The sequence below is a fragment of the Homo sapiens genome, chromosome 6 (assembly GCF_000001405.40).
Source record: "Homo sapiens chromosome 6, GRCh38.p14 Primary Assembly".
Classification (NCBI taxonomy): Eukaryota; Metazoa; Chordata; class Mammalia; order Primates; family Hominidae; genus Homo; species Homo sapiens.
In genome coordinates, this window is record NC_000006.12 from 26,661,166 (window position 1) to 26,688,823 (window position 27,658).

General features: G+C 39.7%; 1 long non-coding RNA gene and 3 other non-coding genes across 15 annotated transcripts, besides 4 other annotated features; all 4 read left to right on the forward strand.

The window, feature by feature from the left end:
* Positions 1–9,954: 9,954 nt before the first annotated feature.
* Positions 9,955–26,676, forward strand: LOC102724851 (uncharacterized). Of its 12 annotated transcripts, XR_926628.4 has the most exons (4): positions 9,955–14,029; positions 16,448–16,537; positions 19,487–19,585; positions 21,633–26,676. It is a non-coding gene; the product is annotated as an uncharacterized LOC102724851 (long non-coding RNA). The 12 variants fall into 12 exon arrangements; XR_007059524.1 differs by lacking the exon at positions 19,487–19,585 and having other exon boundaries at positions 9,955–16,537; positions 21,633–23,169; positions 25,954–26,676; XR_007059526.1 differs by having other exon boundaries at positions 16,448–23,169; positions 25,954–26,676.
* TRA-AGC14-1 (tRNA-Ala (anticodon AGC) 14-1) lies at positions 12,197–12,269 on the forward strand. Its single transcript has one exon. It is a non-coding gene; the product is annotated as a tRNA-Ala (tRNA).
* On the forward strand, positions 21,322–21,394 carry TRA-AGC12-1 (tRNA-Ala (anticodon AGC) 12-1). The gene has a single exon. It is a non-coding gene; the product is annotated as a tRNA-Ala (tRNA).
* Positions 25,283–26,482: an enhancer, noted in NCBI's record as "MED14-independent group 3 enhancer chr6:26686676-26687875 (GRCh37/hg19 assembly coordinates), duplicate 1 on the GRCh38 assembly". NCBI's record gives its function as "activates an origin of replication core promoter dependent on BRD2, BRD4, P300/CBP and CDK7 cofactors, and independent of MED14, by STARR-seq in HCT116 cells {active_cell/tissue: HCT116}" and the evidence as "EXISTENCE:reporter gene assay evidence [ECO:0000049][PMID:35650434]".
* Positions 25,283–26,606: a biological region, named in NCBI's record as "MED14-independent group 3 enhancer GRCh37_chr6:26686676-26687875 duplicate 1".
* Positions 25,605–26,105: an enhancer, noted in NCBI's record as "H3K27ac-H3K4me1 hESC enhancer chr6:26686998-26687498 (GRCh37/hg19 assembly coordinates), duplicate 1 on the GRCh38 assembly". NCBI's record gives its function as "activates a minimal SCP1, AML or CMV promoter by ChIP-STARR-seq in naive and primed H9 embryonic stem cells {active_cell/tissue: H9 hESC(naive and primed)}" and the evidence as "EXISTENCE:reporter gene assay evidence [ECO:0000049][PMID:30033119]".
* TRA-AGC10-1 (tRNA-Ala (anticodon AGC) 10-1) lies at positions 26,092–26,164 on the forward strand. Its single transcript has one exon. It is a non-coding gene; the product is annotated as a tRNA-Ala (tRNA).
* Positions 26,106–26,606: an enhancer, noted in NCBI's record as "H3K27ac-H3K4me1 hESC enhancer chr6:26687499-26687999 (GRCh37/hg19 assembly coordinates), duplicate 1 on the GRCh38 assembly". NCBI's record gives its function as "activates a minimal SCP1, AML or CMV promoter by ChIP-STARR-seq in naive H9 embryonic stem cells {active_cell/tissue: H9 hESC(naive)}" and the evidence as "EXISTENCE:reporter gene assay evidence [ECO:0000049][PMID:30033119]".

Genomic DNA, 27,658 nt, shown 5'->3' on the forward strand with positions numbered 1-27,658 from the left:
GATCACCTGAGGTCGCGAGTTTGAGACCAGCCTGACCAACATGGTGAAACCCTGTCTCTACTAAAAATACAAAATTAGCCAGGCGTGGTGGCGCATGCCTGTAATCCCAGCTACTTGGGAGGCTGAGACAGGAGAATCGCTTGAACCTGGGAGGTGAAGGTTGCAGTGAGCCAAGGGCACTCCAGCCCGGGCAACAAAAGTGAAACTCCATGTCAAAAAGAAACAAAAACCAAAAAAACAGGACACTATGCTGTGTGTTAGGAATTAAAGGCCAGTGAGACTCAATACCACTCCTTTAATGGCTCACAGTCTGGTATGGAGACGGCAGGGGTTTTAGGTGGTGTGGTAGAGGTAGAAGTTGTATAAGGTCATCTGGGGGCATAGAGGTGAAGCACTTTGTAAGAACTTTGAGAAAGAGTCAGAAAAGACTCTGTAGGAGATGAGACATAAGGTGAGACTCGAAGGAATAGAAGTAAGGAGTTGGCTGAAGATGAGCCTGAAATGGAAGATGGAAAATAAGTACAGAGACATTTGAATGTGATTTCAGTTAGTGGAATTTATCTTATATGAAATGGGAAGCAATTCTTGGAATTTCAAGCTGTGGAAATAGGGCAATTATCCCCACATTTAAAATCTTTAGAAAGATTATTTTTAGTTTTAAGTATGAGGATAAAGAGTAAGAAGGAGCAGCCAGGAAATTATGAGGAAAACAAAAGTGGACTACGACAACCAAGGGAGGAGAGTTTCAGTTAAGAGGTTTTTGACCAGACACTGTGGCACATGCCTGTAGCCCCAGCTGCTTGGTAGGCATAGGTGGGGGGATCACTTGAGCCCAGGAGTTCCAGACCAAGCTTGGGCAACATACTTCTTGTGGTTCTGAAGAGGATCTGGCTTTGAGGATAGAGATGAAGGGTATGGAAAGACTATTGTGACTAGAGTTGAGCAAGTGGGAAATTGTGAACTGCAGCCCCTGGAAAGGTGCATTTCAGTATCTTGTTTCCTAGAAGCCAGTAGGTCTGAAACTTCTTTCTGAGATTATCCACTGGAAAGTAGATTGGTCCTATGGAGAGTGTATGTATCTAGGGTTGCCAAATTTAGAAAGAAAAAAGTACAGGAAACCCAGTTACATTTGAATTTTAGATAAACAATAGATTTTAAAAAAGTTTTTAGGGAATATATTTTTCCCATGGGACATACACTAAAAAAATGGTTCATTGTTTATCCGATATTTAAATGTAACTGGGCATCCTGTATTGCATCTGACAATCATATAAGTAGCCTTTGTATGGAAACATATTCTGTGGAAGCAGTTCGTTTATAAGGGGCAGCATTTGTGATAAGATGAGGCAGGGAATTGCAGTTTCCTAGGATTTCTCCTTCTGAGAGAATAAAGAGACATCACCTAAGAGGGTTAGATCATGTGAGTGACTGAACTAATGTGATAAGATCTGATTATGGGAGAGAAAGATTGAGTTATATCTTTAGTTCGGCCAAATATTTGGTAAGAATAAGGACATGGCGATTTGGGAAATAAGAAATATAAGTTTGGACTAATGTCAAGTAGAAGGATAAGAGATTGGAGATCAGGGAAAAGGAGCAGGATCAGGGGACAACATAGGTTTAGTGTATGAATCATATTGAGGTGGAAAGGTAAATTTGAGTAGAAAGTGACGTCAAATAGGTTACTTATATGATCAATTAATGTTGGTTGGATGAACATGATTAGGCAAGCAAGTCAGAGGCATGCAGGGTATGAGTTGGGGTTGGATAAAGTATGGATAGTTGATGAGTTGTAGAGGAAAGTGATCAATGGATTTGAGACTGAGGAGAGAGTTTTTTTTGGAAGGTGTAGATACATTGGAATTCCATTTGAAAACCCTTTAAATTCTTCTTAGACACCATGCAGTCTTTTTATTTTTCTAAATCATTTTCCAAAGTGATTTACACACTAAAAAGGAATACCTTAGACCATGCAATAAAGGACAGACAGATGATCTAAAGAACAGGACATAATCAAGATTTCAGTGGAAATTCCCAAGGTACTTAAGGAAACAACTGGGGTCAGAGGAAGGCTAAAGAATACTATGGCAGGTTTTGGCTATGTTAGAATTTTTCCTGCCGAAATCTAAGCTGAAAGTTTCCACGAAGGAACTCTGAAAAAGAGAAAGTCCTCTTCTGTGTCTCTACGGCAGGCATATTTGCGATTTTTGGGATCCTGATGCATGCACTGTTAATGGAGATTTACAGGAGTCAGACCCAAAATCAACGTTAGTGGCCTCAATTTTTCTTCATCTGCTGCAGCTTGTTACTGAGAGTTCTGGTGATTGTTCCGTACCTGTTACTCCAACTAGATTTTAACTTAGTACAGAAAAGGTCTTTCATCCATGTCATCTCTTCTTTTTTTCTTTGTTTTTTTTTCTTTTTGAGACGGAGTCTCGCTCTGTCGCTCAGGCTGGAGTGCAGTAGCATGATCTCGGCTCACTGCAACCTCCACCTCCCTCATTCAAGCAGTTCTCCTGCCTCAGCCTCCTAAGCAGCTGGGATTACAGGCATGCGCTACCAAGCCCAGCTAATTTTTATATTTTAGTTGAGTTGGGGTTTCACCATGTTGGCCAGGCTGGTCTGGAACTCTTGACCTCAAGAGATCCACCTGCCTTGACCTCCCAAAGTGCTGGGATTACAGGCGTGAGCCACTGTGCCTGGCTTTTTTTTTGAGATGGACTCTTGCTGTGTCGCCCAGGCTGGAGTGCAGTGGCACAACCTCAGCTCACTGCAACCTCCACCTCCCGAGTTTGAGCGGTTCTCCTGCCTCAGCCTCCCAAGTAGCTGGGACCACAGGCATGCGCCATCACACCTGGCTAATTTTTGTATTTTTAGTAGCGACAGGGTTTCACCACGTTGACCAGGCTGGTCTCGAACACCCGACCTCAGGTGATCTGCCCGCCTCGGCCTCTCAAAGTGCTGGGATTACAGGCGTGAGCCACTGCATCCAGCCCATCTCTTCTTAATTTACCTTTTCTCTCATACATTGAATCTATCTGGCTATTCACCATTATTCCTTTTCCTGAATGATGCGTGGCTGCCTTTTCTGTGTTTTCCGTCCAGCTCTCCAGCTTATCTGTTTTACAGTGCTCTACTTTGTCTTTCCATCTTGACTGTTACAAGTTCATAAGACAATACCTCCCTCCCTGAGCTGAGGTAAGAATGAAATGTAGTAATTAATGCAAAGGTATCATCATAGTGACTCGGCATGTAATAGATACCCATTAAAATGTTAGTTCTAGGGCTGGCATGGTGGTTCACACCTGTAATCCCAGCACTTTGGGAAGCCAAGGTGGTGGATTGCTTGAGCTCAGGAGTTCGAGATCAACTCAAGAGCAGCCTAGGTAATGTGGTGAAACCCCATCTTCACCTAAAATACAAAAATTAGTCGAATGTAGTGGTGCACACTTGTGGTCCCACCAACTCAGGAGGTTGAGATGGGAGGATCCCTGGAGTCCTCTGGGAAGTTGAGGCTGCAGTGAGCTGAGATTGTGCCACTACACTTCAGCCTGGGTGACAGAGTGAGACCCTGTCTCAAAAAAAGAAAAAAATTCTTTAAAGCAGGGGTCCCCAACCCCTGGGCCACATACAAGTTAGTTGCTTCTTCAGAACTGGGCTGTACAGTAGGAGGTGAGTGATGGGCAAGTGAGTGAAGCTTCCATCTGTATTTACAGCTGCTCCCCATCACCCGCCTTACTGCTTGAGGTCCACCTCCTGTCAGATCAGCAGTGGCATTAGATTCTCATAGGACCGCGAACCTTATTGTGAATTGCAGATGAGAGACATCTAGATTGCATGCTCCTCATGGGAAGCTAATGTCTGATGATCTGTCACTGTCTCCCATTACTCCCAGATGAGTATTTGAATTACATTTGTAAGCCTCACTGTGCTGTACCTTTTATACTCATAGACTCTGTATCTAAGTTAATGAGACATTTTATGTAAATCCTGCCCAGTGAGTCTAGTCTAGTTGCACAAAGACAAGCTTAGAGCTCCCACTGATCCTACATTATGGGGAGTTCTATAATTATTTAATTATATACTACAATGTAATAATAATAGAAGTAAAGTGCACAATAAATGTAATATGCTTTAATTATCCTAAAACCATCCCCCTCCACCATCTGTGGAAAATTTGTCTTCCACGAAACTAGTCCCTGGTGCCAAAATGGTTGGGAACTGCTGCTCTAAGGGGAACCATGCTCTCTGTTTCTTTTTGGATCCAAAGTTTTCTGAGCCCGTAGATGCCAAACAAGTGCAAAAAAATTTGAAACTTTTTTCTTTTTGAGTCTTTTTTTTTGTCTTTGTCTCTGTCTCTTGATTTTATTATATCTTTGTTTTTCATTTACATTCAGATTTCTCTTTTGCTATTTCTGTTTCCCAAGATTCCTTTCATTCAGCCCATCCTCAAGCAGATATACTTGGAGGACTAGCCTCAAGGGTACTAACACAACCTGAGGAAGGTAAACTGTAAGGAAGTTTAGGTGAACCTAAAGCATATTCCCTGAATAGAGTGAATCTTTCTGAGATTGCCCACAGTAGAGGTGACAGCACCTGAGTGTTTGAGTTACATTTGTAAGTCTCATTGTGCTGTACCTTTTATATTCATTGGCTCTGTATCCTAGTTAATACATTTTCTGTAAATCCTGCCTAGTGAGTCATGCAGACTCAGGTTTCAATTTAGAAAAGAAGGTAGTTTAAAAAGGATTCATTATCAGCTCAGATGAGCAAGTAAAACCTTGTATAGACCCTTGTAGTCCCTCCTCTTCTGCAGCTGAAGAACAATATCTTTAAGTTAACAGAAAGCATATTAATTGTCAGTTTATCAATCAGCAACTGTTTGCTGATGTGTGTAAGATAATAGAAGCCCTCAAAACAAATGGGAGAAACTTTTGCAAGTGAAGGAAAAAAGTAGAAAATAAAAATAAGAAGCAAGTAAAACATAGTCAAGAAATAACTTCTGGTTCAATGGAATTGTTTTGTAAGATACCAGTGATTCTTCTTTTTGGAGAACAATCATAAAGTACCTCAACCTCAAGCTAACCAAAAATCTAGGTAGACATTCTTGAACACAATTGGGGCAGTTTTAATTTATTCATTTGGTGAGTAGCAGACTCTCACCAAAGGGCTTTATGTGTGTGGGAAATCATGCCCCCAAATCGCTTTGGAAGAGGGAAGCAGCAGTTCTCAAGACAGATATGACCCTGTATACCCTAAAACAGCAGTCCCCAATCTTGTGGGGGCCAGGGACTGGTTTCATGCAAGACAATTATTCCACAGACTGGTGGGGCAAGGTGGTTTTGGGATGAAACTGTTCCACCTCAGATCATCAGGCATTAGGTTTTCATAAGAAGCACACCACCTAGATCCCTTGCATGAGCAGTTCATAATAGGGTTCGTGTTGCTATGAAAATCTGATCTGACAGGAGGCGGAGCTCCGGTGGTAATGCTCGGTTGCCTGCCACTCATCACCTGCTATGGCAGGTCACACATTGTTGCTAGTCTGCGCCCTGGGGTTTGGGGACCCCTGCCCTAAGAGGAATGTGAATTAGTTTTTTGTTGTTGCTGTAACAAGTTACCACAACTTAGTGTATTAAAAATATATTAATAAATGTATTATCTTAAAGTTCTGTAGATCAGAAGTTTAAACTGGGTTTCACTATGTTGGCAGTGTGTGTCCCTTTCTGGAGAATCTGTTTCCTTGCTCTTTCTGGCTTCTAGGCTTCCTACATTCCTTGGCTTATGACCCTCTTCTTTCATCTTCAAAACAAGCAATGAAAGATCAGTTCCTTCTCATGTCACTTCGTTCTAATCCTCTGTCATTTAATTGCTCTCTGAAACAGCAGAGAGAGGTTGTTTACTTTTAAGGATTCATGTAATTAAATTAGGCTCACCTGGATAATCCAGGCTAATCTCTCTAGCTCAAACTCCTAACTTTAATCACATTTGCAAAGTCATTGTTCCCATGCAAAGTAATAGATTCACAGGTTCTGAGGATTAAAATACGAATATCTTGGAGGGGGGCATTATTCTGCCTATGCAGAATTTTAATTATACTTTCCCCATTTTCCTTCTTTCTTGACTGATTTTTGTCACGATTTGGAAAATTATAAATTTCCCAAGAAATGCCAGGAAGGAATTTCCATATGGAAACATGGCAATACAGCCTGGAAAGCACTATGGACAGTTGCATGGACCTCACAGTAAGGAAATCTAACATAGGCTTCAGGCTGGGGAGAGCTTTATAGACAATGGATGTCATAAATAGGTTTTTGAAGAATATGTAGTAGTTATCTTTGTGAAAGTTAAGGGAAGAGAGGATTGGAGCCATTAATTCACAGGACTGTGATTAAACTGAGACATACACATTTCATTTTTAGGGGGAAGTTAAAAATAGTTTAGTATGAGTTCAAATGTAGGAGGAGAGGGATATAAAATTTGAGAGTTAAGCATTGGACCTGTGTAAGTCTATTCTCATGCTGTTAATAAAGACATATCTGAGACTGGGTAACTTATAAAGGAAAGAGGTTTAATTGACTCACAGTTCAGGATGGCTAGGGAGGCCTCAGGAAAGTTAGAATCATGGCAGAAGGGGAAGCAACCATGCCCTTCTTCACATGGTGGCAGCAAGGAGAAGTGCCAAGCAAAAGGAGAAAAAGCCCCTTATAAAACCATCAGATTTAGTGAGAACTCATTATCATGAGAACAGCATGAGGGTAACTGACCCCCATGATTAAATTACCTCCCACAGGGTCCCTCCTGAGACATGTGGGGGTTGTCGGAACTACAGTTCAAGATGAGATTTGGGTGGGGACAGAGCCAAACCATATCAGACCAAACATAAAAGTCTAAGAAGCTTTGACTTTTAAGACAACATTAGGAAGTGCTTGAAGGTTTGTAAACAGTGGCACCACAAAAAAAAAAAAAAAAAAAAAGCTGTGTTTTTGAGATAGCTTCAGAGGCTACAATACAGAGTGTACATTTAAATACAATCAATAGATTAAAATGAAATAAACAGGGAAATGGTTTGAGAACATGCATAGTAATCACAATGAGAAACATTACAGTGACTTCAACTAAGTAGAGCAAGAAAAACACTAATATACAGCTACTGCGAGTGCAAGTGAATGCAGTAAATTTGGAAAAGAGTGTGGCAGTATCTAGTTGAAGATACACTTTTCTTACCAGCAATTCTGTAATCACTTGACAGGTTCTTCTTGTCTGCTGCGCAGAAAAGCCAATGCAGTGAGAACAGCAGGTTTTGCAGCAAAGAAAGAGTTTAATAATTGCAGGGCCAGCCAAGTGGAAGGATGAAAGATAATGCTCAAATCCACCTCCCTGAGCATTTGGAGGCCAGAGTTTTTCAAGGATAGTTTGGTGGACAGGGGGTAGGGACTGGGGAATGCTAATTTGTTGGGTAAGGGATGAAATCATAAAGGGTCAAAGCTGTCTTCTTGCACTGAGTCAGTTCCTGGATCAGGGGTTCATGAGACCAGCTGAGCCAGTTTTTTTTGTTGTTTGCTTTTTGTTTTTTTGTTTTTTTGAGACGGAGTCTCACTCTGCCACCCAGGCAATGGTGCGATCTCGGCTCACTGCAACCTCCACCTCCTGGGTTCAAGCGATTCTCCTGCCTCAGCCTCCTGAGTAGCTGGGATTACAGACGCGCACCACCATGCCTGGCTAATTTTTATGTTTTTAGTAGAGATGGGGTTTCCCCATGTTGGTCAGGCTAGCGGCTTTTTGTTTGTTTGTTTGTTTTTTAATGGGTTACCTGTCCAGGTGACATCAGCTGGTCCATCAAAATACAGGGTCTAAAAAATACATCAAGCACCAATCTTAGGCTTTACAGTAGTGATGTTATCTATAGGAGCAACTGAGGAGGCTACAATCTTGTGACTTCCAGCTACATTATTCCTGAACCATAATTTTAACCTTATGCCTAATTTGTTAGTTTTACAAAGGTAGTTTCAGTCCCTTAGCAGGGAGGGGTTACTTTTGGGAAGCAGCTATTATCATCTTTGTTTTAAAATTAAACTATGAATTCCTCCATAGTTAGCTTGGCCTATGCCCAGGAATGAACAAGGACAGTTTGTGAAGTTAGAAGCAAGATAGTCAGCTATGTTAGATTTTTCTCACTGTCATAATTTTTGCAAAGATGGTTTCAATTCCACTCATTTTTGCATAGAAAATGCATGCTTATGTGTACCAGGATACACATTCAGGAATGTTTAGAGTGGCATCATTTGTAATAACTGAAGGATAGATATAATGTAATAGCTATCAATGGCAATATGGTTATACAAACTGTGATGTGTTCATACGTGGAAGTCTGTATTGCAATGAACAGTATCAGGCAAGTGGTCATCCAACAACATAGATGGAATTTAAAAACATAATGAAAAGTTGATATCAAAGAAGCCAGATCTAATAATATCCTAAATGATTCCATGTGTATAAATATTGAAAACATACATGTATACATGCATGCATGTATACATACATACACTCAGAAGAGTTTGGAAAAGGAAGACTTGCTGAGTCTTCTGGCCTCCATCTTTCTCCCATGCTGGATGCTCCCTGCCCTCAAATATTGGACTCCAAGTTCTTCGGCTTTTGGACTCTTGGATTTACACCAGTGGTTCGCCAGGGGCTCTTGAGCCTTTGGCCACAGACTAAAGGCTGCACTGTCAGCTTCCCTACTTTTGAGGTTTTGGGACTCGGACTGGCTTCCCTGCTCTTCAGCTTGCAGACAGCCAATTGTGGGACTTCAGCTTCCGATTGTGTCAGTCAGTACTTCTTAATGAACTCCGCTTCATATACACATCTATCCTGTTAGTTCTGTCCTTCTAGAGAACCCTGACTAATACAGATCTAGGTGTACATACAAACAGATTTTGTGTACATACATACATGTATACACACATACACGTATACAACATACATCCCTACACATGCCTGTGTGCACACATACATGTACACGTGCATGCAAGAATACGTGTCCATACATACGTGTGCACATCCACACACATGCCTACACACATGCATGTGTGCACACATGTGCACACACAAACATGTATGCAAATGCATGCACACACAAATAACATATGTGTGCATACATGCATGTACACACATGCACACACGTGCACATACATATGTGCATACACACATAATGCATGTACAATATATACATACATGTAGGCACACATGAGCACAATGTATACATGTACACATGCATATATGTGCATACACATGTACACATGTGTAAACAAATGCATGCAAACATGCATGTGCACATTTATGCGTACACGAATACCTACACACAAACATACAAACATTCTGTGTACACACATACATGGATACACATGCATGCATGCACACACACACACATGCATCCATGCCTGCAGGCATGCATGTGCAGACATATGTGTACACAAATGCATACCCGCAGATGCATGTACACATGAGTACACACACATACAGTTATACACATATGTAGATGCATGTGCACACAGGTGCACATACATATATACATACACGTGTGTATTCACGTGTACATGCATGTATGTACGTATGCATGTGCAGATACACGTGTAGAAACATACACACACGTAATGTACACATATGTATAGTGCACATATGCACGCACTTGTACACACATTTAGGCATACACATGCATATGTAGATGCATGTGTACATGCATGTATACATCTACACATGCACAGACACACATACATGTACACATGCATACTGTGTACATAATACATGTATACAGATACATGTGCGCATGCACGTGTACACACATGCATGCATACACACATGCATTTGTAGATATATGTGTAGGTGTGTACACACAACATACACATATGCATCCACACATACACATATACATATGAGGTGGCACGTTCAGCTTTCAAGAGGACCATCAGGGACTTTGTCACCTTGACAACTTTAGCCTTGCCTTCTAGTCACCTTGCCGGAACACTTGTGCCCGTGTTTTTCTAGCACTGTCATAAGAATACTTTTACCTATCAAGGCAACTGGGGGTTAGGAGAGCTTTTTGCACAGGAGGCTACTTGGCTTTGTTTGAAAACTGATGATACATGAGGATTGGGGTGGTGAATCACTCACATGTTTCTTCATATGAAAAATGAGGACTGTGGGATTCTCTGGCTGGATCTCAGCACCTAGAAATGGATCTGGGCAATAGGAACTGCTCAGTATTAGCTACCGCTTTGGTTGCCTTCTCCTTGCGGAAAGCTGGCCTCTCACACTGAATTTGTATCATAGGCACTCATGAGGGTCTTGACTGTATCAATATCTGATGAGAGATTTTAGTGCAGTTCTGTTATCGTGGCTGATTTGCTCATTTGGTAGCTAGCATCCAGCTTCTTGTGAACATTAAAATAAAATAAAATAGATTATGGAGGAATAGAATACAGATACGTAGTAAGGTATTATTTTCCAGACAAAATGGATTTGGATAAAAGAATCTAATTAAGAACTTGTGCATGATTCTTTTAAAATTCTTTTGAATCCATTTTTTTTTTTTTGGCCTGTTTTCAAGTCTCCGATTTTTGTCACCCTTCTCACACCAGGTCAGAGAGATAGCTAATGGTCAGAAGGAATCTTCCAGCAATGACCATAGCGCTTTCTCCTGCCTGCAGATGCCTCTTTTTATTCAGCCTTTATGGGAAGTAGCAGCACCATCCAGTTCTCAGAGAGCAAGCTCTGGAGTAACTGAGCTAACCCCAGTTACCCCAGTGGATTTACAGATTGAGGTTACAACCCAGCAGGGTTCTCTTCCTGGAAAGAATAGCCTTCCCTCTAAGGTTTCAAATAGACCCTGGGTGAGGAAGGAGCCCTAAACAGCTTGAAAAATTGAATGCTCTTTGGGCAAAGCAGGAAGCCGTCCTATGGAAGAGCATCATTTGAGCATAAATCAGGTTATCAGGACAAACAGAGTGTTCAGGAGGTCAAGATGGTTAAGCAGAGACCCTGACCAGAATGTCCGTGGCGGAGAGAAACAATCTTGTTGGGAAAAGGATGACAATAATTGGGGACTTAGAATAAAGGCTAAAAATGATTCAAAGAGAATGCAAAAAGAATCAGGCACAAATCGTTTACTATACTCTGTTATGCAAATCTCACCTTACTATGTGTTTGTATTCTATTCCTCCACAATCTTTATTTTATTTTAATGTTCAAAGAGACTTGTAGGTGCCAATTAAATGAACAAAACAGCCAGAGACAACAGAACTGCCCTAAAAAAAGTCCCGCATCAGCTCTTGAGAGCAGGTTCCTTAAAGGTGAACAATATTCCACATACAAGGACTTTTTCAGCACCATGCATTAGAAATGGAAGTGAATGTTTATTATTTTTTGTATAAGTTGGTTGATATGGCTTTTCAGCTTCCCTCAGTATCATTATCCAAATTTTGTAGATGACACTAAAGCTCAGAGGAGTTAAACCATTTTCCTTAAATCACATAGCTTTAAATAGGAAAACCAGATATGAAAAGCAGATTTTTTTTCTAAATTAAAAAACCAAAAACAAAAACACGTGAGCTCTTGCTTTACCCTAGCACATAGTCTTGCCATCTGTTTTCTCCACACCAGGTGATTCCTGTAACATTCATTCACATAACAAATACAAATAAATGAGTGGATTCATTCATCAGATATTAATTCAGAATCCCTTTTGTGCCTTCCAGAAATCTGGACCATCTCACAACCCCCAGAGAGTCTCAGCTACAAGGAACAAGTGATAATGCCATCCCACTTTTATAAACACACACACACACACATGCAATACACACACAATCATTTAATCATTTTTAATTATTTAATTATTTTTTAAAAATCAGTGACACTTTAGCTGGGCAGGTCTAGATAGGTCTTCTTTGCTGGGACGTGTCTTTTTCTGTCCTGGAATACCCTAAACTTCACATTTTGGCAGCGTGAGTTTTCCCTTTGTGACTTTCTCCTTCTTCCCTTTTTTCCTCCTTCTTTGCAGAGAATGAGTAGCCACTGCACCTTGCCCTGCGCCATCAATGAGAAGATCTGCTCTTAGTAGAGCCCTGCTTTCCCGCTGAAGGCCCTGAAATCACCTGTGTTCCAGGCCACCCACTAAGGATAAACAAAGCTTCCCTGATATGGGGAATTAGCTCAAGTGGTAGAGCGCTTGCTTAGCATGCAAGAGGTAGTGGGATCAATGCCCACATTCTCCAAGCTTTATTATTTAGGTACCCAAACCCGAGTCAGTGTCTGAGAGCAAGACACTGCTCTCGGTGTCTTTGGTTCAAGACATAGGAGCAGCAACAATACAGGACTGGTGACAGCTTCCTGCTGGCATTCAGTATAGTGTAGATCTACTGTGTAATTAATTTTCTGTTTCTTCGAGGAGCTGTGAAACCAAAGGACATATAAAACTGCTCTTTTCTCCCTGTTTCTGCCTGCAGCTTGGTCCTAAATGTGAGACAATTGTGAAAAGTGGAGGACAGAGCCACCTGGTTAAATACAGCCCCAGCTTTCTGGTGAGAGGACTGAAACCAAGATGTGTCAAGTAACTAGAATGTGCCTGGACAGATACTGTAGAAAGCAAAACCATAAAGTTGTTCATGAGCTTGTGGACGCACCTGCCAGCTGTGAATAAGTGGCTCTAATCCCGAACAACTTACCTAAAAAGAGCCTGAGAGCTGAACTGTGCAATGGCCCACTTTCCAGTCCTCACTGACCACTGGGTTGCACACACTTTGGAGATCTCTGAACAGCAGTGTCAAGGCTTTCAAATAGAGTTATCTTTGAAACGACAACACATGAAAGTCTGGTTGGTACTTGGAGCTTAAATACAAGGCAATTGTGTGCCTGCAAAAACAAAAATAGCAATATTATCCTTAAGATTTCAACAAGACACAGTGTCTCATCACATAATCCAAAGAAGTCCAGGTTACAAGCCCCACAATATTCAGCATTATGAAAAAACAGGGAGATCTTAATTCACATGGCAAAGAGAATCCTCGAATAACAATATTGAGAGGACACAGATGTCAAAATCATCTGACACATACATTAAAGCAGATATTATAACAATGCTCCTAGAATCGGGGATAACATTCGTGAAGTGAATGGAAAGTTGGAAAGTCTCACCAAATATTTCGAATACATAAACACCAATTTAAACTTAAGAATTAAAAAAATGTATTAACCAAAACTCTTAGGGGAAATAAAAAGCTTAATTGGAGGATCTCCATAATCGAATGCAGAAGACTAAGGAAAAAGTCAATGAACTTGAAAACAGAACACGAATACCTACATAATCTGAACTATAGAGAGAAAGGAGGATTTTATTGTCTCTGAACAGAGGCTCAGGCACAAATAAAAAATAACAAATCCAACATTCACATTATTGTAATCTGGAAAGAAGAGGACAAAGTGGTCTTTGTGGGATAAAACTTTGAACAATTAATAGCTGAAAATGGTTCAAATTTGTCAAAAGATATAAACCAGATTTTTAAAGTTCAGTAAATGTCAATCAGGATAAACCCAAAGAAACCCATAGCAAGGCATATCATAATCAAACTGCTGAAAACTAAGAAAATACAAAACAATTTTGAAAGCAGCCAAAGGGAAATGAAAGAGAAACTACCAAATGAATGATTGTAGATTTCGCATCAGGAACCATAGGGGCCAGAAAAAATGTCATAACATTCGGTAAGTAACAAAAGAAAAAGACATATCGACCCAGAATGCTATGTGGAGCAAAAGTATCTTCCAGACATAAAGGCAAATAAATGCATTCTCAGTGGAAGGTAAGTAAATACATTCTCATTCTTAGGAAGACTGCTGGAAAAGAATTAGCAAAGATTTGAGATAAGAAAAATGATACCAGAAGGAAACTTAGAACATCATCAGTGAAGGAACAAAAGCAGAAATAGAACATGTCTGGGTAGACATAACAGACTATTATTCTTCCCTTGAGTTCCTTAAGGTATGTTTGATGATTGAAAGCAAAAATTGTAACTTTATCAGAAGCAGTTGTCATTGTATCTAGATGTACTACATACAGAAGATAAAAGGGTAAGTGTAATGGGACTAACTCTTGATGAAGTTTCTTTATTCAACTTGAATGGTAAAATATTGATTCTAAGTATACTGTGAAAGGTTATATATGTATATGGTAAACCCTAGACCACCTACTAACAAGATTTAAATAAACCAAAACAAGATAGAAAGAGGAACATAGATGAATTAAAACAAAGGGAAACAAGGTTAATACATTATTAAATAATAGACCTATCTAAAAACTTATCTATAATGACATTACATGTAAATAATCTAAACGCATTAATTAAAAACTAGAGATCATCAGAATGTGTTAAAAATAAATATGCTGACTAAAGAAAGCCACCTGCTATACACTTATATATAAGAATAAAAGTTATAGAGCAGATTGAAAGAAAAGAGTGGGAAAAGATACCTCATGCAAGCACTAATCAAAGACAGCTGTGATGTATATATAAAAAAATCAGACAAAGTACATTTGAAAGCAGAGAAACTTTTCAGGAATAATGAGGCCTGCTAAATAATTATGATTGTCAATTTTCCAGGGGAATATTGTCCCAAGTGTATATGAGAACATAGAGCTTCAAAACTCATAAACAAAATTGGATACGCAAGGTAAAAACAGAAAAATCCAATTAGAGTTGCCGACACTAACACTCCTCTCTCGGTAATTGGTAGACTTAGTAGAAAACAAATCAGCAAACATATTGGAGAATTAAACCATACCATCCAGTAATGGACCTATTAACTTCATAATGCAAAATAAAAATTTAGGTAGAAGGCAAAGACAAAAGTTAAAAGAAAAGTAAAGATCATGTTATAACCAGGAAATTAAGAGTAGTCCAGCATATAGAAGAGTGCTATTATTGGAAGAGTTATTTAGTTATTTTGAGACATTTTTTGAAAGAGTTATTTAGCTGGAAATGACAGAAAGACTGAAAATGGTGAATCTGGAGGTGGATCTCCCCTTGTCCATATTTATTTTGTCTTTTTTTGAGGTCTAGGGTGTCTATACTTCCTCTGAATTACCTACAGTGTCTGGCACAGAGCATCTCCCCAGTGAATATGTATTAAATGAGTAGAAAGTAATTTATAGATTCAAAAGAACTGGGCAAGAATAATGTTCATTATTTGACAAATCCTTGAATGTAGTGTTTGAAGGAAGACAATAAGTCAAAGTTGACTTGAAAGGTAAGCCCAAGTCCAGACTCTTTTCTGTAATCCCAGCACTTTGAGAGGCCGAGATGGGCAGATCCCGTGACACCAGGAGTTTGAGACCAGCCTGGACAACACAGTGAAACCCTGTCTCTACAAAAAATACAAAAATTAGCCAGGTGTGGTGGTATGCATCTGTAGTTCCAGCTACTCAGGAGGCTGAGGTGGGAGGATCGCTTGAATCTGGGAGGCGGAGGTTGCAGTGAACAGAGATTGCACCGGTGCCTGGACAACAAAGTGAGACCCTGTCATAAAATAAAATAAAATAAAATAAAATAAAATAAAATAAAATAAAATAAAATAAAATAAAATAAAATAGTTAAACCCAGGCCGGGAGGGGTAGCTCACACATGTAATCACAGCACTTTGGGAGGCTGAGGTGGGCGGATCACCTGAGGTCAGGAGTTTGAGACCAGCCTGGCCAACATGGTGAAACCCCATCTCTACTAAAAATACAAAAATTAGCTGGGCGTGGTTGCAAGCACCTGTAGTCCCAGCTACTCAGGAGGCTGAGACAGGAGAATTACTTGAACCTGGGAGACAGAGGTTGCCGTGAGCCAAGATCTCACCAGTGCAGTACAGCGTGGGTGACAGAGCAAGTAAGTAAAGAGGAGGTTTGGAATTAGATATTTGGTGTATGAATGAATGGGCTAAAGTGCAAAAGAACAGGCAGAATAACTGAGCTGGTACAGAGGAAAAAAATCACACTTAAAATCTAAAAGTATCTGCTTCTCAATTTGGGCTTTCCCACTTAGCAGCTTTGACACCTTAGAAAGAACACTTAACTTACCTGAGCTTCTATTACTTCTAAAAAGTGCATAAAGTGCAGGCTAAGACATAGTTTTTTTGGCAAAATTCAGTCAGACTACATCAAGTAAACTCCCTAAGTCTCCTAGTATAATTCATGGCACAAAAACTGGGGAAAAAACAGGGAGGATATGTTTATAAGTTCAGTTTGGGTTTTTTGTTGAGTGAATGTCTCCAGTCATAGAGATGCAAGTGTAGATACACCGTAAGAGTAGTATGAACAGGAGACACCTTGGAAGGCTATTTCTTCCTTCATTCATTCAGTTGGTCACTCAATGAACTATCATGAATTGAGCACTACCTCTGTTTCTTATCAACAAAGGAGACTACGGAAAAGAAGAGTGACTAAGATCTCTGAAGAAGGGAAAAGCTAGATGACTGGGCCACAAGAGGAAAAAAAGCAGCAAGACAGGTACAATTGTTTCTGGTCCCTCAAGCCAGAAGGTCCTATCATTATGTGAATACTGGAAACGGGTGGACTCCACCTGTCCTGAGTGGGGAATTCTTCCAGTGCAGCACTGGCTGATAAGCAGTGATTTCCAAGTAGCATTGATTGTGTTCTTTAAAAGCTAGGAATTGATAAAGCAGCAGTGTGTGGGAAATGAGATTTAATAATCTGGATCTCAGCTCTTAGGAACAGTTGCTCTCTTAGAGCAGCAGGCCACCTGTCAATCTCGTATTCTGAAGGTCCTGAGTTTGAACATCAGACAAGGTACAGCTTTTGCCGCTCTTTCCGTTAAGGGAAATGAAATAGGTGTGATAAATAATGTAACACAAATGCTATGAGATAATGATTTCAAGACAGTCCAAATATTAGCTTAAAATTTAAAAATGAGCTTTTCTTTTTTCTTTCTTTCTTTCTTTCTTTCTTTCTTTCTTTCTTTCTTTCTTTCTTCCTTTCTTCTTTCTTTCTTTCTTTCTTTCTTTCTTTCTTTCTTTCTTTCTTTTTCTCTTTTTCCTTCTTTTGGCTTCTTAGTGGTTTGAATACAAGGCGTGGTGAAGAGATATAAATTACACAAGAAACTACAAGCTATGTCATATGTCTACCTCTCTAGCTGACAAGGGAAGCAGGGGAAATTTCTCTTCCAATTGTCTGCTCTGAAGGTCATCCAAACATAATTATCAGGTGGGGTGGGTGAACTCTTTTATTCTTTTAATCATCCAACAAATATTTCTCAAGCGCATACCTTGTTAAGAGACTGTTTTGGGTACAGTAATTCACAGTGAATAAAACACAGATATTCTCACCTTTGTGATACTACGTCATAGTTGCAAGGAGTGGGGAGAAACAGACAGGAAGCAAAGAAGAAAAATAAACAAGAAGTCATGTGATAATATCTACTGGGAGGGACTCATTAGGCAGTAAAGGACTCGGCAGTGTGGAGGTGACACATTCAGTTTTCAGTAGAAGAATCAGGGAAGTTGTCACTTTGAAGCTATCATTTAGCTTCCCTTTCTTTCAATCTTCTTTCTTTACATGGGAAATAAGGATTGTGGGATATTTTTGGGTGGATCACAGCACCTAGAGATGGACCTGATCAATAAGAACTGCTCAGTAAGCATTAGCTACTGCTTCGGTTGCCTTCCCCCTGTGGAGTGCTGGCCTCTTGGATTGAGCTTGCATCATAGGTGTTCAGTAGGAGCTTGCTTAGTGGATTTATAGGTTGAGGTTAGAACCCACTGGAATTCTCTTCCTGGAAAGAACAGGCTTCTCTTTAAGGTTTCATACAGACCCTGGTTGAGGAAAGAGCCCTAAATTGCTTGAAAAATTGAATGCTCTATGGGCAAAGCAGGAAGCCCTCCTATGGAAGGGCATCATTTGGGCATATATCAGGGTCTCAGTAAAAACATGAGTGCTCAGGAAGTCAAGATGGTTAAGCAGAGAATCTGACCAGAATGTTCATGGTGCGAAGAAATAATCTTGTTGGGTGTAGGATTACAACAACTGGGAAATTAGAATACAGGCTAAATGAGATTCAAAAATAATACAACAAGAATCAGGCACAAATCCTTTACTACTACATTCTTTTGTACAAATCCATTTTGCCTAGAAAATCGTACCTTACTATACATCCCTATTGTGTTTCTCCACCATCTATTTTACTTTTTAAACTTTATTTCATTTTTGTCATCACAGAAGCTTGTTGCTACAAAATAAATGAGCAAATCAGCCAATGGCAACAAAGCTGCACTGATCTCTCTCCTTAGACCTTCAGAACATTTTCCTTAAAGGTGAACAATACTCCACGTTCAAGGACTTTTTCAGCACTATGTGCTAGAAACTATGCTGACTGTTTATTAATTTTTATGTAAGTTGGTCGATATAGTTTCTCAGCTTCCCCAAGTATTATTACCACAGTACTATAGATGACACTGAAGCTCAGAGCAGTTAAACCATTTTCCTCAGATCACATAACTTTAAAGAGGGAAACCAGATATGGGAAGCAGATTTCTTTCTAAATGAAAAAATCATGAGCTCTTGCTTTCACTTAGCACATAGTCTCATCATCTGTTTTCTTCACACCAGCTCACTCATGTAACATTCATTCATTTACCAAATACAGATAAATGAGTGGATTTATTCTTGCTTTCATCAGATACTAATTCAAAATCGCTTCTGTGTCTGCTACACTGTGCTCAAGACTTGCCAGTGCCTTTGTCTCCTCTCCCTCAAATCTCTCCACCCAATGTCTTGACAAATACTGTAGATTCTTCCTGCATAACCTCTCCAGAATCTTTTCCTTCTGTTATCCATGCTACAGTGTTTATGGAGGATGTTTTCTTCACCTATGAAGTGTGATGGGGGCTGAAGCTGCAGCAAGACTCATGCTGTTCACCTCAGGAGCTGACACAGTAAATGTGGATAAACCTCAATCCTTTAATATCTTTATGACTTCTTTCCCAGTTACCCCAGCGAATTTACAGATTGAGGTTAAAACCACAACAGGATTATCTTCCTGGAAAGAATAGGCTTCCCTTTAAGGTTTCACATAGATACTGGGTGAGGAAGGAGCCCTAAATTGCTTGAAAAATTGAATGCTCTTTGGGCAAAGCAGGAAGCCTTGCTATGGAAGAGCATCATTTGAACATAAATCAGAGTCTCAGTACAAACAGAGTGCTCAGGACATCAAGATGGTTAACCAGAGAGCCTGGCCAGAATATCTGCGGTGGAGAGAAACGATCTTGTTGGGAGAAGGATGACAATAATTGGGGACTTAGAATAAAGGCTAAAAATGATTCAAAGAGAATGCAAAAAGAATCAGGCACACATCCTTTACTCTGTTGTGCAAATCTCACCTTACTGTGTGTTTGTATTCTATTCCTCCACAATCTTTATTTTATTTTATTTTTATGTTCACAGAGATTTGTTGGTGCCAACTAAATGAGCCCAACAGCCAGTGACAACAGAACTGCACTAAAAAAAGTCCCTCATCAGCTCTTGAGAGCAGGTTCCTTAAAGGTGAACAATATTCCACATACAAGGACTTTTTCAGCACCATGCATTAGAAATGGAAGTGAATGTTTATTATTTTTTGTATAAGTTGGTTGATACGGCTTTTCAGCTTCCCTCAGTATCATTATCCAAATTTTGTAGATGACACTAAAGCTCAGAGGAGTTAAACCATTTTCCTCAAATCACATAGTTTTAAATAGGAAAACCAGATATGAAAAGCAGATTTTTTTCTAAATTAAAAAAAAAAAAAAAACTTGAGCTCTTGCTTTACCCTAGCACATAGTCTCACCATCTGTTTTCTCCATGCCAGGTCATTCATGTAACATTCATTCACATAACAAATACAAATAAATGAGTGGATTCATTCATCAGCTATTAATTCAGAATCTCTTTTGTGTCTACCACACTAGGCTCAAGACTTCCCAGTGTCTTTGTCTCCTCTCCCTCAAATCTCTCCACCCAATGTCTTGACAAATACTGTAGATCCTTCCTGCACAGCATCACCAGAATGTTTTTCTTTCTTTTCATTCACCTCTGTCATCATCCATGCTATGGTGTTTATGGAGGATGTATTCTGCAGCAGGAAGTGTGATGGGCACTGACGCTGCAGAAAGACTCCTGTTGTCCACCTCGGGAGCTGACACGATAAATGCGGGTAAATCTCAATCCTTTAATATCTTTATGACTTCTTTCTCTTTCTCTTCAATTTCTATTTTCTCATGTTCAAGCTCTGACATTCAAAACTAAACACCTTTCTCTAACATGTTGCTTTAATTATTTAAGCATTCTGCCTGGGATTTTTTCAATTACTCTTGGGAGTTTTCATAAAACTCTACCAACATATCTCCAAGTGGCCAGGCTTTTCAATCACTGCTTCCCTCCGTGTGTATTTCACACACACACACACACACACACACACACACAGCACTTAAATTGAACAGGTTTATTTCTTCACACAGGAATTCCTACGAACAGCCCGGTTTTCTCCACCATATGTCCACTCCTTCTCTGCATAGCTGAATTTTGATTCTTACACTCTAATATTTTACATATTCTTACACTCTGATATGATCTTGTCTCTTATTCTTTATGGCTCTGCTCTGTAATTTTGTTGTTGTTGTTCTGAGATATAGTTGGACATGTAACTTGTACATGACACACCTTAGCAAGGAGGCAACCTATATCTCAGATGCAAGTGAAAGAAGCACTCCCCAGGGGTTTCCTAAGGTAGTGGTCAGCACGCTGGCTTCATTCCTGAAAGGGCCTAGTTATGAAAACAACAGGAGCTTTTTGCCTTCCAGAAATCTGTACCATCTCAAAATCCCCAGAGAGTCTCAGCTACAAGGAACAAGTGATAATACTATCTCACTTTTATAAACACACACACACAACACACACACACAAAATCATTTAATCATTTTTAATTATTTAATCATTTTTTAAAAATCAGTGACACTTTAGATGGGCAGGTCTAGGCAGGGCCTCCTTTCCTGGAATGTGCCTTTTTCTGTCCCGGAATACCCTAAACTTGACATTTTGGCAGTGTGAGTTTTCCCTTTTTGACTTTCTCCTTGTTCCCTTTCCTCTTCCTTCTTTGCAGAGAATGAGTAGCCACTGCACCTTGCCCTGGGCCATCAGTGAGAAGATCTGCTCTTAGTAGAGCCCTGCTTTCCCGCTGAAGGCCCTGAAATCCCCTGTGTTCCAGGCCACCCACTAAGGATCAATAAAGCTCCCCTGATGTGGGGGAATTAGCTCAAGTGGTAGAGCGCTTGCTTAGCATGCAAGAGGTAGTGGGATCGATGCCCACATTCTCCAAACTTTATTATTTAGACCCTGGGTCTCCAAACACTCAGGTCTCCAAACCCAAGTCAGAGAACAGGATGCTGCTTTGGTTCAAGATGTAGGAGCAGCAACAATACAGGGCTGGTGACGGCTCCCTCCTGGCATTCAGTATAGTGTAGATCTACCGTGTAATTAATTTTCTGCTTCTTTGAGGAGCTGTGAAACCAAGGGACATAAACAATTGCTCTTTTCTCCCTGTTTCTGCCTGTAGCTTGAATGTGAGGCAACTGTGAAAAGTGCAGGGCAGAGCCACCTGGGTAAATACAGCCCTGGCTTTCTGGTGAGAGGACTGAAACCAGGATGTGTCAAGTAACTAGAATGTGCCTGGACAGATACTGTAGAAAGCAAACCCATAAAGTTGTTCATGAGCTTGTGGACGCACCTGCCAGCTGTGAATAAGTGGGTCTAATCCCAAACAACTTACCTAAAAAGAGCCTGAGGACTGAACTAAACAATGGTCCACTTTCCAGTCCTCACTGACCACTGGTTGCACACACTCCAGAGATCTCTCATCCGCAGTGTCAAGGCTTTCAAATAGAGTTATCTGTGAAACAACAACACATGGAAGTCTGGTTGGTACTTGGAGCTTAAATACAAGGCAATTGTGTGCCTGCAAAAACAAAAAGAGCAATATTATCCTTAAGATTTCAACAAGACACAGTGTCTCATCACATAATCCAAAGAAGTCCAGGTTACAAGCCCCAAAATATTCAGCATTATGAAAAACCAGGGAGATCTTAATTCACATGGCAAAGAGAATCCTTGCATAACAATATTGAGAGGACACATATGTCAAAATCATCTGACACATACATTAAAGCAGTTATTATAACAATGCTCCTAGAATTACGGGATAGCATTCATGAAGTGAATGGAAAGTTGGAAAGTCTCACCAAATATTTGGAATATGTAAACACCAATTTAAACTTAAGAATTAAAAAAAGTATTAACCAAAACTATTAGGGGAAATAAAAAGCTTAATTGGATGATCTCAATAGCAGTATGCAGAAGACTAAGGAAAAAGTCAATGAACTTGAAAACGGAACAAGAATACCTACAGAATCTGACCTATAGAAAGAAAGGAGGATTTTATTGTCCCTGAACAGAGGCTCAGGGACAAATAAAAAATAACAAATCTAACATTCACATTATTGTAATCTGGAAACATTCACATTATTGTAAGAGGACAAAGAGGTCTTTGTGGGATAAAACTGTGAAGAATTAATGGCTGAAAATGTATCAAATTTCTCAAAAGATATAAACCAGATTTTTAAAGTTCAGTAAATGTCAAGCAGGATAAACCAAAAGAAACCCATTGCAAGACATATCATAATCAAACTGCGGAAAATTAAGAAAACACAAAACAATTTTGAAAGCAGCCAAAGGGAAATGAAAGATAAAATACCAAATGAATGATTGTAGATTTCTCATCGGGAACCCAGGAGCCAGAAAAAAATGTCATAACATTCAGTAAATACCAAAGGAAAAATACATTATCAACCCAGAATGGTATGTGGAGCAAAAGTATCTTCCAGACATAAAGGCAAATAAATGCATTCTCATTGGAAGGTAAATAAATACATTCTCAGTCCTAGCAAAACTGCTGGAAAAGAATTAGCAAAGGTTTGAGATAAGAAAAGTGATACCAGAAGGAAACTTAGAACATCATCAATGAAGGAACAAAAGCAGAAATAGAAAATGTCTGGGTAGACATAACAGACTATTATTCTTCTCTTGAGTTCCTTAAGGTATGTTTGATGGTTGAAAGCAAAAATTGTAACTTTATCTGATGCAGTTGTCATTGTATCTAGATGTACTACATACATAAGATAAAAGGGTAAATGTAATGGGACTAACTCTTGATGAAGTTTCTATATTCAACTTGAATGGTAAAATATTGATTCTTAGTATACTGTGAAAAGTTATATATGTATATGGTAATCCCTAGACCACTTAACAACCAGATTGAAATAAACCAAAACAAGATAGACAGAGGAACATAGAAGAATTAAAACAAAGGGAAAAAAGGTTAATAAATTATTAAATAGTAGATCTATCTAAAAACTTATCTATAATAACATTATATGTAAATTATCTAAATGCATTAAGTAAAAACTAGAGATCATCAGAATGTGTTAAAAATAAATATGCTGACTAAAGAAAGCCACCTGCAATACACTTATAAATAAGAATAAAAGTTATAGAGCAGATTGAAAGAAAAGAGTGGGAAAAGATACCTCATGCAAGCATTAATCAAAGACAGCTGTGGTGTATATATATAAAATCAGACAAAGTAGATTTGAAAGCAGAGAAACTTTTCAGGAATAATGAGGCCTCCTAAATAATTATGATTGTCAATTTTTCAGGAGAATATTGTCCCAAATGTATATGAGGACACAGAGCTTCAAAACTCATAAACAAAATTGGATACGCCAAGTAAAAATAGAAAAATCCAGTTATAGTTGCAGTCATTAACACTCCTCTCTGAGTAATTGGAAGATTTAGTGGAACACAAATCAACAGACATACTGGAGAATTGAACCATGCCATCCAGTAATGGACCTATCAATTTCATAATGCAAAATAAAAATTCAGGTAGAAAGCAAAGACAAAAATTAAAAGAAAAGCAAGATCATGTTATAATGAGAAAATTAAGAGTAGTCCAGTGTATAGAAGGGTGCTATTATTGAAAGAGTTTGAAATAGTGACTTAGTTATTTTGAAACATTTTTGAAGACGTTATTTAGCTGGAAATGACAGAAAGACTGAAAATGGTGAATGTGGAGGTGGATCTTCCCTTGTCCATATTTATCTTGTCTTCGTTTGAGGTCTGGGGTGTCTATACTTCCTCTGAATTACCTGATCTTACTACAGTGTCTGGCACAGAGCATCTCCCCAGTGAATATGTACTAAATGAGTAGAAAGTAATTGATAGATTCAAAAGAGTTGTGCAAGAATAATGTTCATTATTTGACTAATCACTGAATGTGGTGTTTCAAGGAAGACAATGAATCAAAGTTGACTTGAAAGGTAAGCCCAGGGCCAGACGTGGTGGCTCATTTCTGTAATCCCAGCACTTTGGGAGGCCGAGATCAGTGGATCCCTTGACACCAGGAGTTTGAGACCAGCCTAGGCAACACAGTGAAAACCTGTCTCTACAACAAATACAAAAATTAGCCGGGTGTGGTGGTATGCATCTGTAGTTCCAGCTACTCAGGAGGCTGAGGTGGGAGGATCGCTTGAACTCAGGAGGTGGAGGTTGCAGTGAACAGAGAACGCACCGGTACCTGGACAACAAAGTGAGACCCTGTCATAAAATAAAATAGTTAAACCCAGGCCAGGAGGGGTGGCTCATGCCTGTAATCCCAGCACTTTGGAAGGCCAAGGTAGGCTGATCACGTGACGTCAGGAGGTTGAGACCAGCCTGGCCAACATGGTGAAACCCCGTCTCTACTAAAAATACAAAAATTAACCAAGCGTGGTGGCAGGCACCTGTAGTCCCAGCTACTCTGGAGGCTGAGACAGGAGAATTACTAGAACCCGGGAGGCAGAGGTTGCAGTGAGCCAAGATCTTACCATTGCACTGCAGCCTGGGCGACAGAGTGACACTCTGTCGAAAAAAAAAAAAAAAAAAAAGTTAAGCCCAAAAAGTAAGTAAGGAAGAGGTTTGGAATTAGATATTTGTTGTATGAATGAGTGAGCTAAAGTGCAAAAGAACGGGCAGAATAACTGAGCTGGTACAGAGGGAAAAAATCACATTTAAAATCTAAAAATATCTGCTTCTTAGTTCAGGCTTTCCCACTTAGCAGCTTTGGCACCTTAGGAACACTTAACTTATCTGAGCCTCTATTACTTCTAAAAAGTGCATAAAGTGCAGACTAAGACAGTTTTTTTGGCAAAATTCAGTCAGACTACATCAAGTAAACTCCCTAAGTCTCCTAGTATAATTCATGGCACAAAAAATTGGGGAAAAAACAGGGAGGATATGATTATAAGTTCAGTTTATGTTTTTTGTTGAGTGAATGTCTCCAGTCATAGAGATGCAAGTGTAGATACACAGTAAGAGTAGTATGAATGGGAGACACCTTGGAAGGCTATTTCTTCCTTCCTTCATTCAGTTGGTCACTCAGTGAACTATCATGAATTGAGCACCGCCTCTGTTTCTTATCAACAAAGGAGACTGCGGAAAAGAAGAGTGACTAAGATCTCTGAAGAAGGGAAAAGCTAGATGACTGGGCCACAAGAGGAAAAAAAGCAGCAAGACAGTTACAATTGTTTCTGGTCCCACTTTTATAAACACACACACACACACACACACACACACACACACACACAAAATCATTTAATCATTTTTAAGTATTTAATCATTTTTTAAAAATCTGTGATGCTTTACCTGGGCATGTCTAGGCAGGTCCTCCTTTGCTAGGACGTGCCCTTTTCTGTCCCGGAATACTCTAAACTTGGCATTTTGGCAGCGTGAAGTTTTCCCGTTGTGACTTTCTCCTTGTTCCCTTTTCTCCTCCTTCTTTGCAGACAATGAGTAGCCACTGCTGTTTGCCCTGGCCCATCAATGAGAAGATCTGCTCTTAGAGCCCTGCTTTCCTGCTGAAGGCCCTGAAATCACCTGTGTTCCAGGCCACCTGCTAACAATAAATAATGCTGCCCTGATGTGGGGAATTAGCTCAAGTGGTAGAGCGCTTGCTTAGCACGCAAGAGGTAGTGGGATCGATGCCCACATTCTCCAAGCTTTATTATTTAGACATCGTGTCTCCAAACACTCAGGTCTCCAAACCCAAGTTAGTGTCTGAGAACAGGATGCTGCTTTGGTTCAAGACGTAGGAGCAGCAATAATAGAGGGCTGGTGATGGCTCCCTCTTGGCATTCAGTATAGTGTAGATCTACCATGTAATTAATTCTCTGTTTCTTTGAGGAGCTGTGAAACCAAGGGACATATACAACTGCTCTTTTCTCCCTGTTTCTACCTGCAGCTTTGTCCTAAATGTGAGACAATTATGAAAAGTGCAGCGCAGAGCCACTTGGGTAAATACAGCCCCGGCTTTCTGCTCAGGGGACAGAGTTTGAGGCACTGCAGAGGAACCGGCCAAAGTATGAGACCCATATATTGAGAGTAACAGAGTGTAAAGTTCAAAAAAATCAAAATATTTAAAGATTTATCATGGGTCTTGATGACATGATGGAATCTCTCTACTCTCTGGACTTATTATGTGTGGTAATAAATTTACTTTTTAAAAGCCAGTTGAGTGTTTTTAATGTTGTGGAGCTATTGCTAAGAGTTTCCTGAGTTTTTTCCAGTAATGTAGAGATCTTTGTGCTAAATATTTCATAAAGAAGTTTGGTGGGTTATGTGTTCTAAATCCTAATCACTGGCATTAACTCAAACCAGCCATATAAAAGGTATGAAAAATGTCTGTCTGGCGTGCACTTGGTTCACTGAGCTTTTGCTTTCCTGTCAGCAAATTAGACATTCTCCTCACTTAGGAGGCCAACTTCTCAGCCACTGGCTCCAGCCTAGCCCTATGGTCTGTCAGTGGCTTTAGATTTAATTGACACATGCCCAGCCCCAACTCTCTCCTGCCTTAAGGATATAAGAGCCATTGTGAGCCGCAAAGTTATTATATCCGAGAACCCAGAAAACCACTTTTGTATATAGCAGTCCGCTGTTTTCTCATTTAAACATATGGGTTGGAATAGCATAGGATCATACACCTGTGAGCCTACCTGTTTTACAAGTTAAAACTTTTTCCTGATTCTTGCAAGCATTTTTTCTCACTCAACCCTACATGCATGTGTGCAGAATTTTAAGGTAAAATTAGTTTTTGTAGACACTGAATGTGCTGCCCTCAAGGAATATTACAATGGAGTAGGGAAGACAGTTGAGCAAACAGCTGTTTACAATTCTGATAAAAGTCACAATTGAGATGAATACTCTGTACACTAAAAGTACAGAAAGGAACACTACTCTTGAGAATGAGTAGCCTGATAGGATTTGCCAGTGTTTCTGTTATTTCATTTGTTCATACCGGTCCCTGACACCTGGTTTCCTTTTCAAGCAACAAAATCCTAAAATCTCCATCATCTGCTGCTTTCACGTTCCTCACCACTGAGGTCAAGGACCCGAGGCTGGCAGGAAATTGAACTAATGACACTTCAAGAAGACCATGAATCTTTTCATTTTTTTCAGCTGGAAAGCTGAGAGCAGACAAATGGCAGGGAGGCC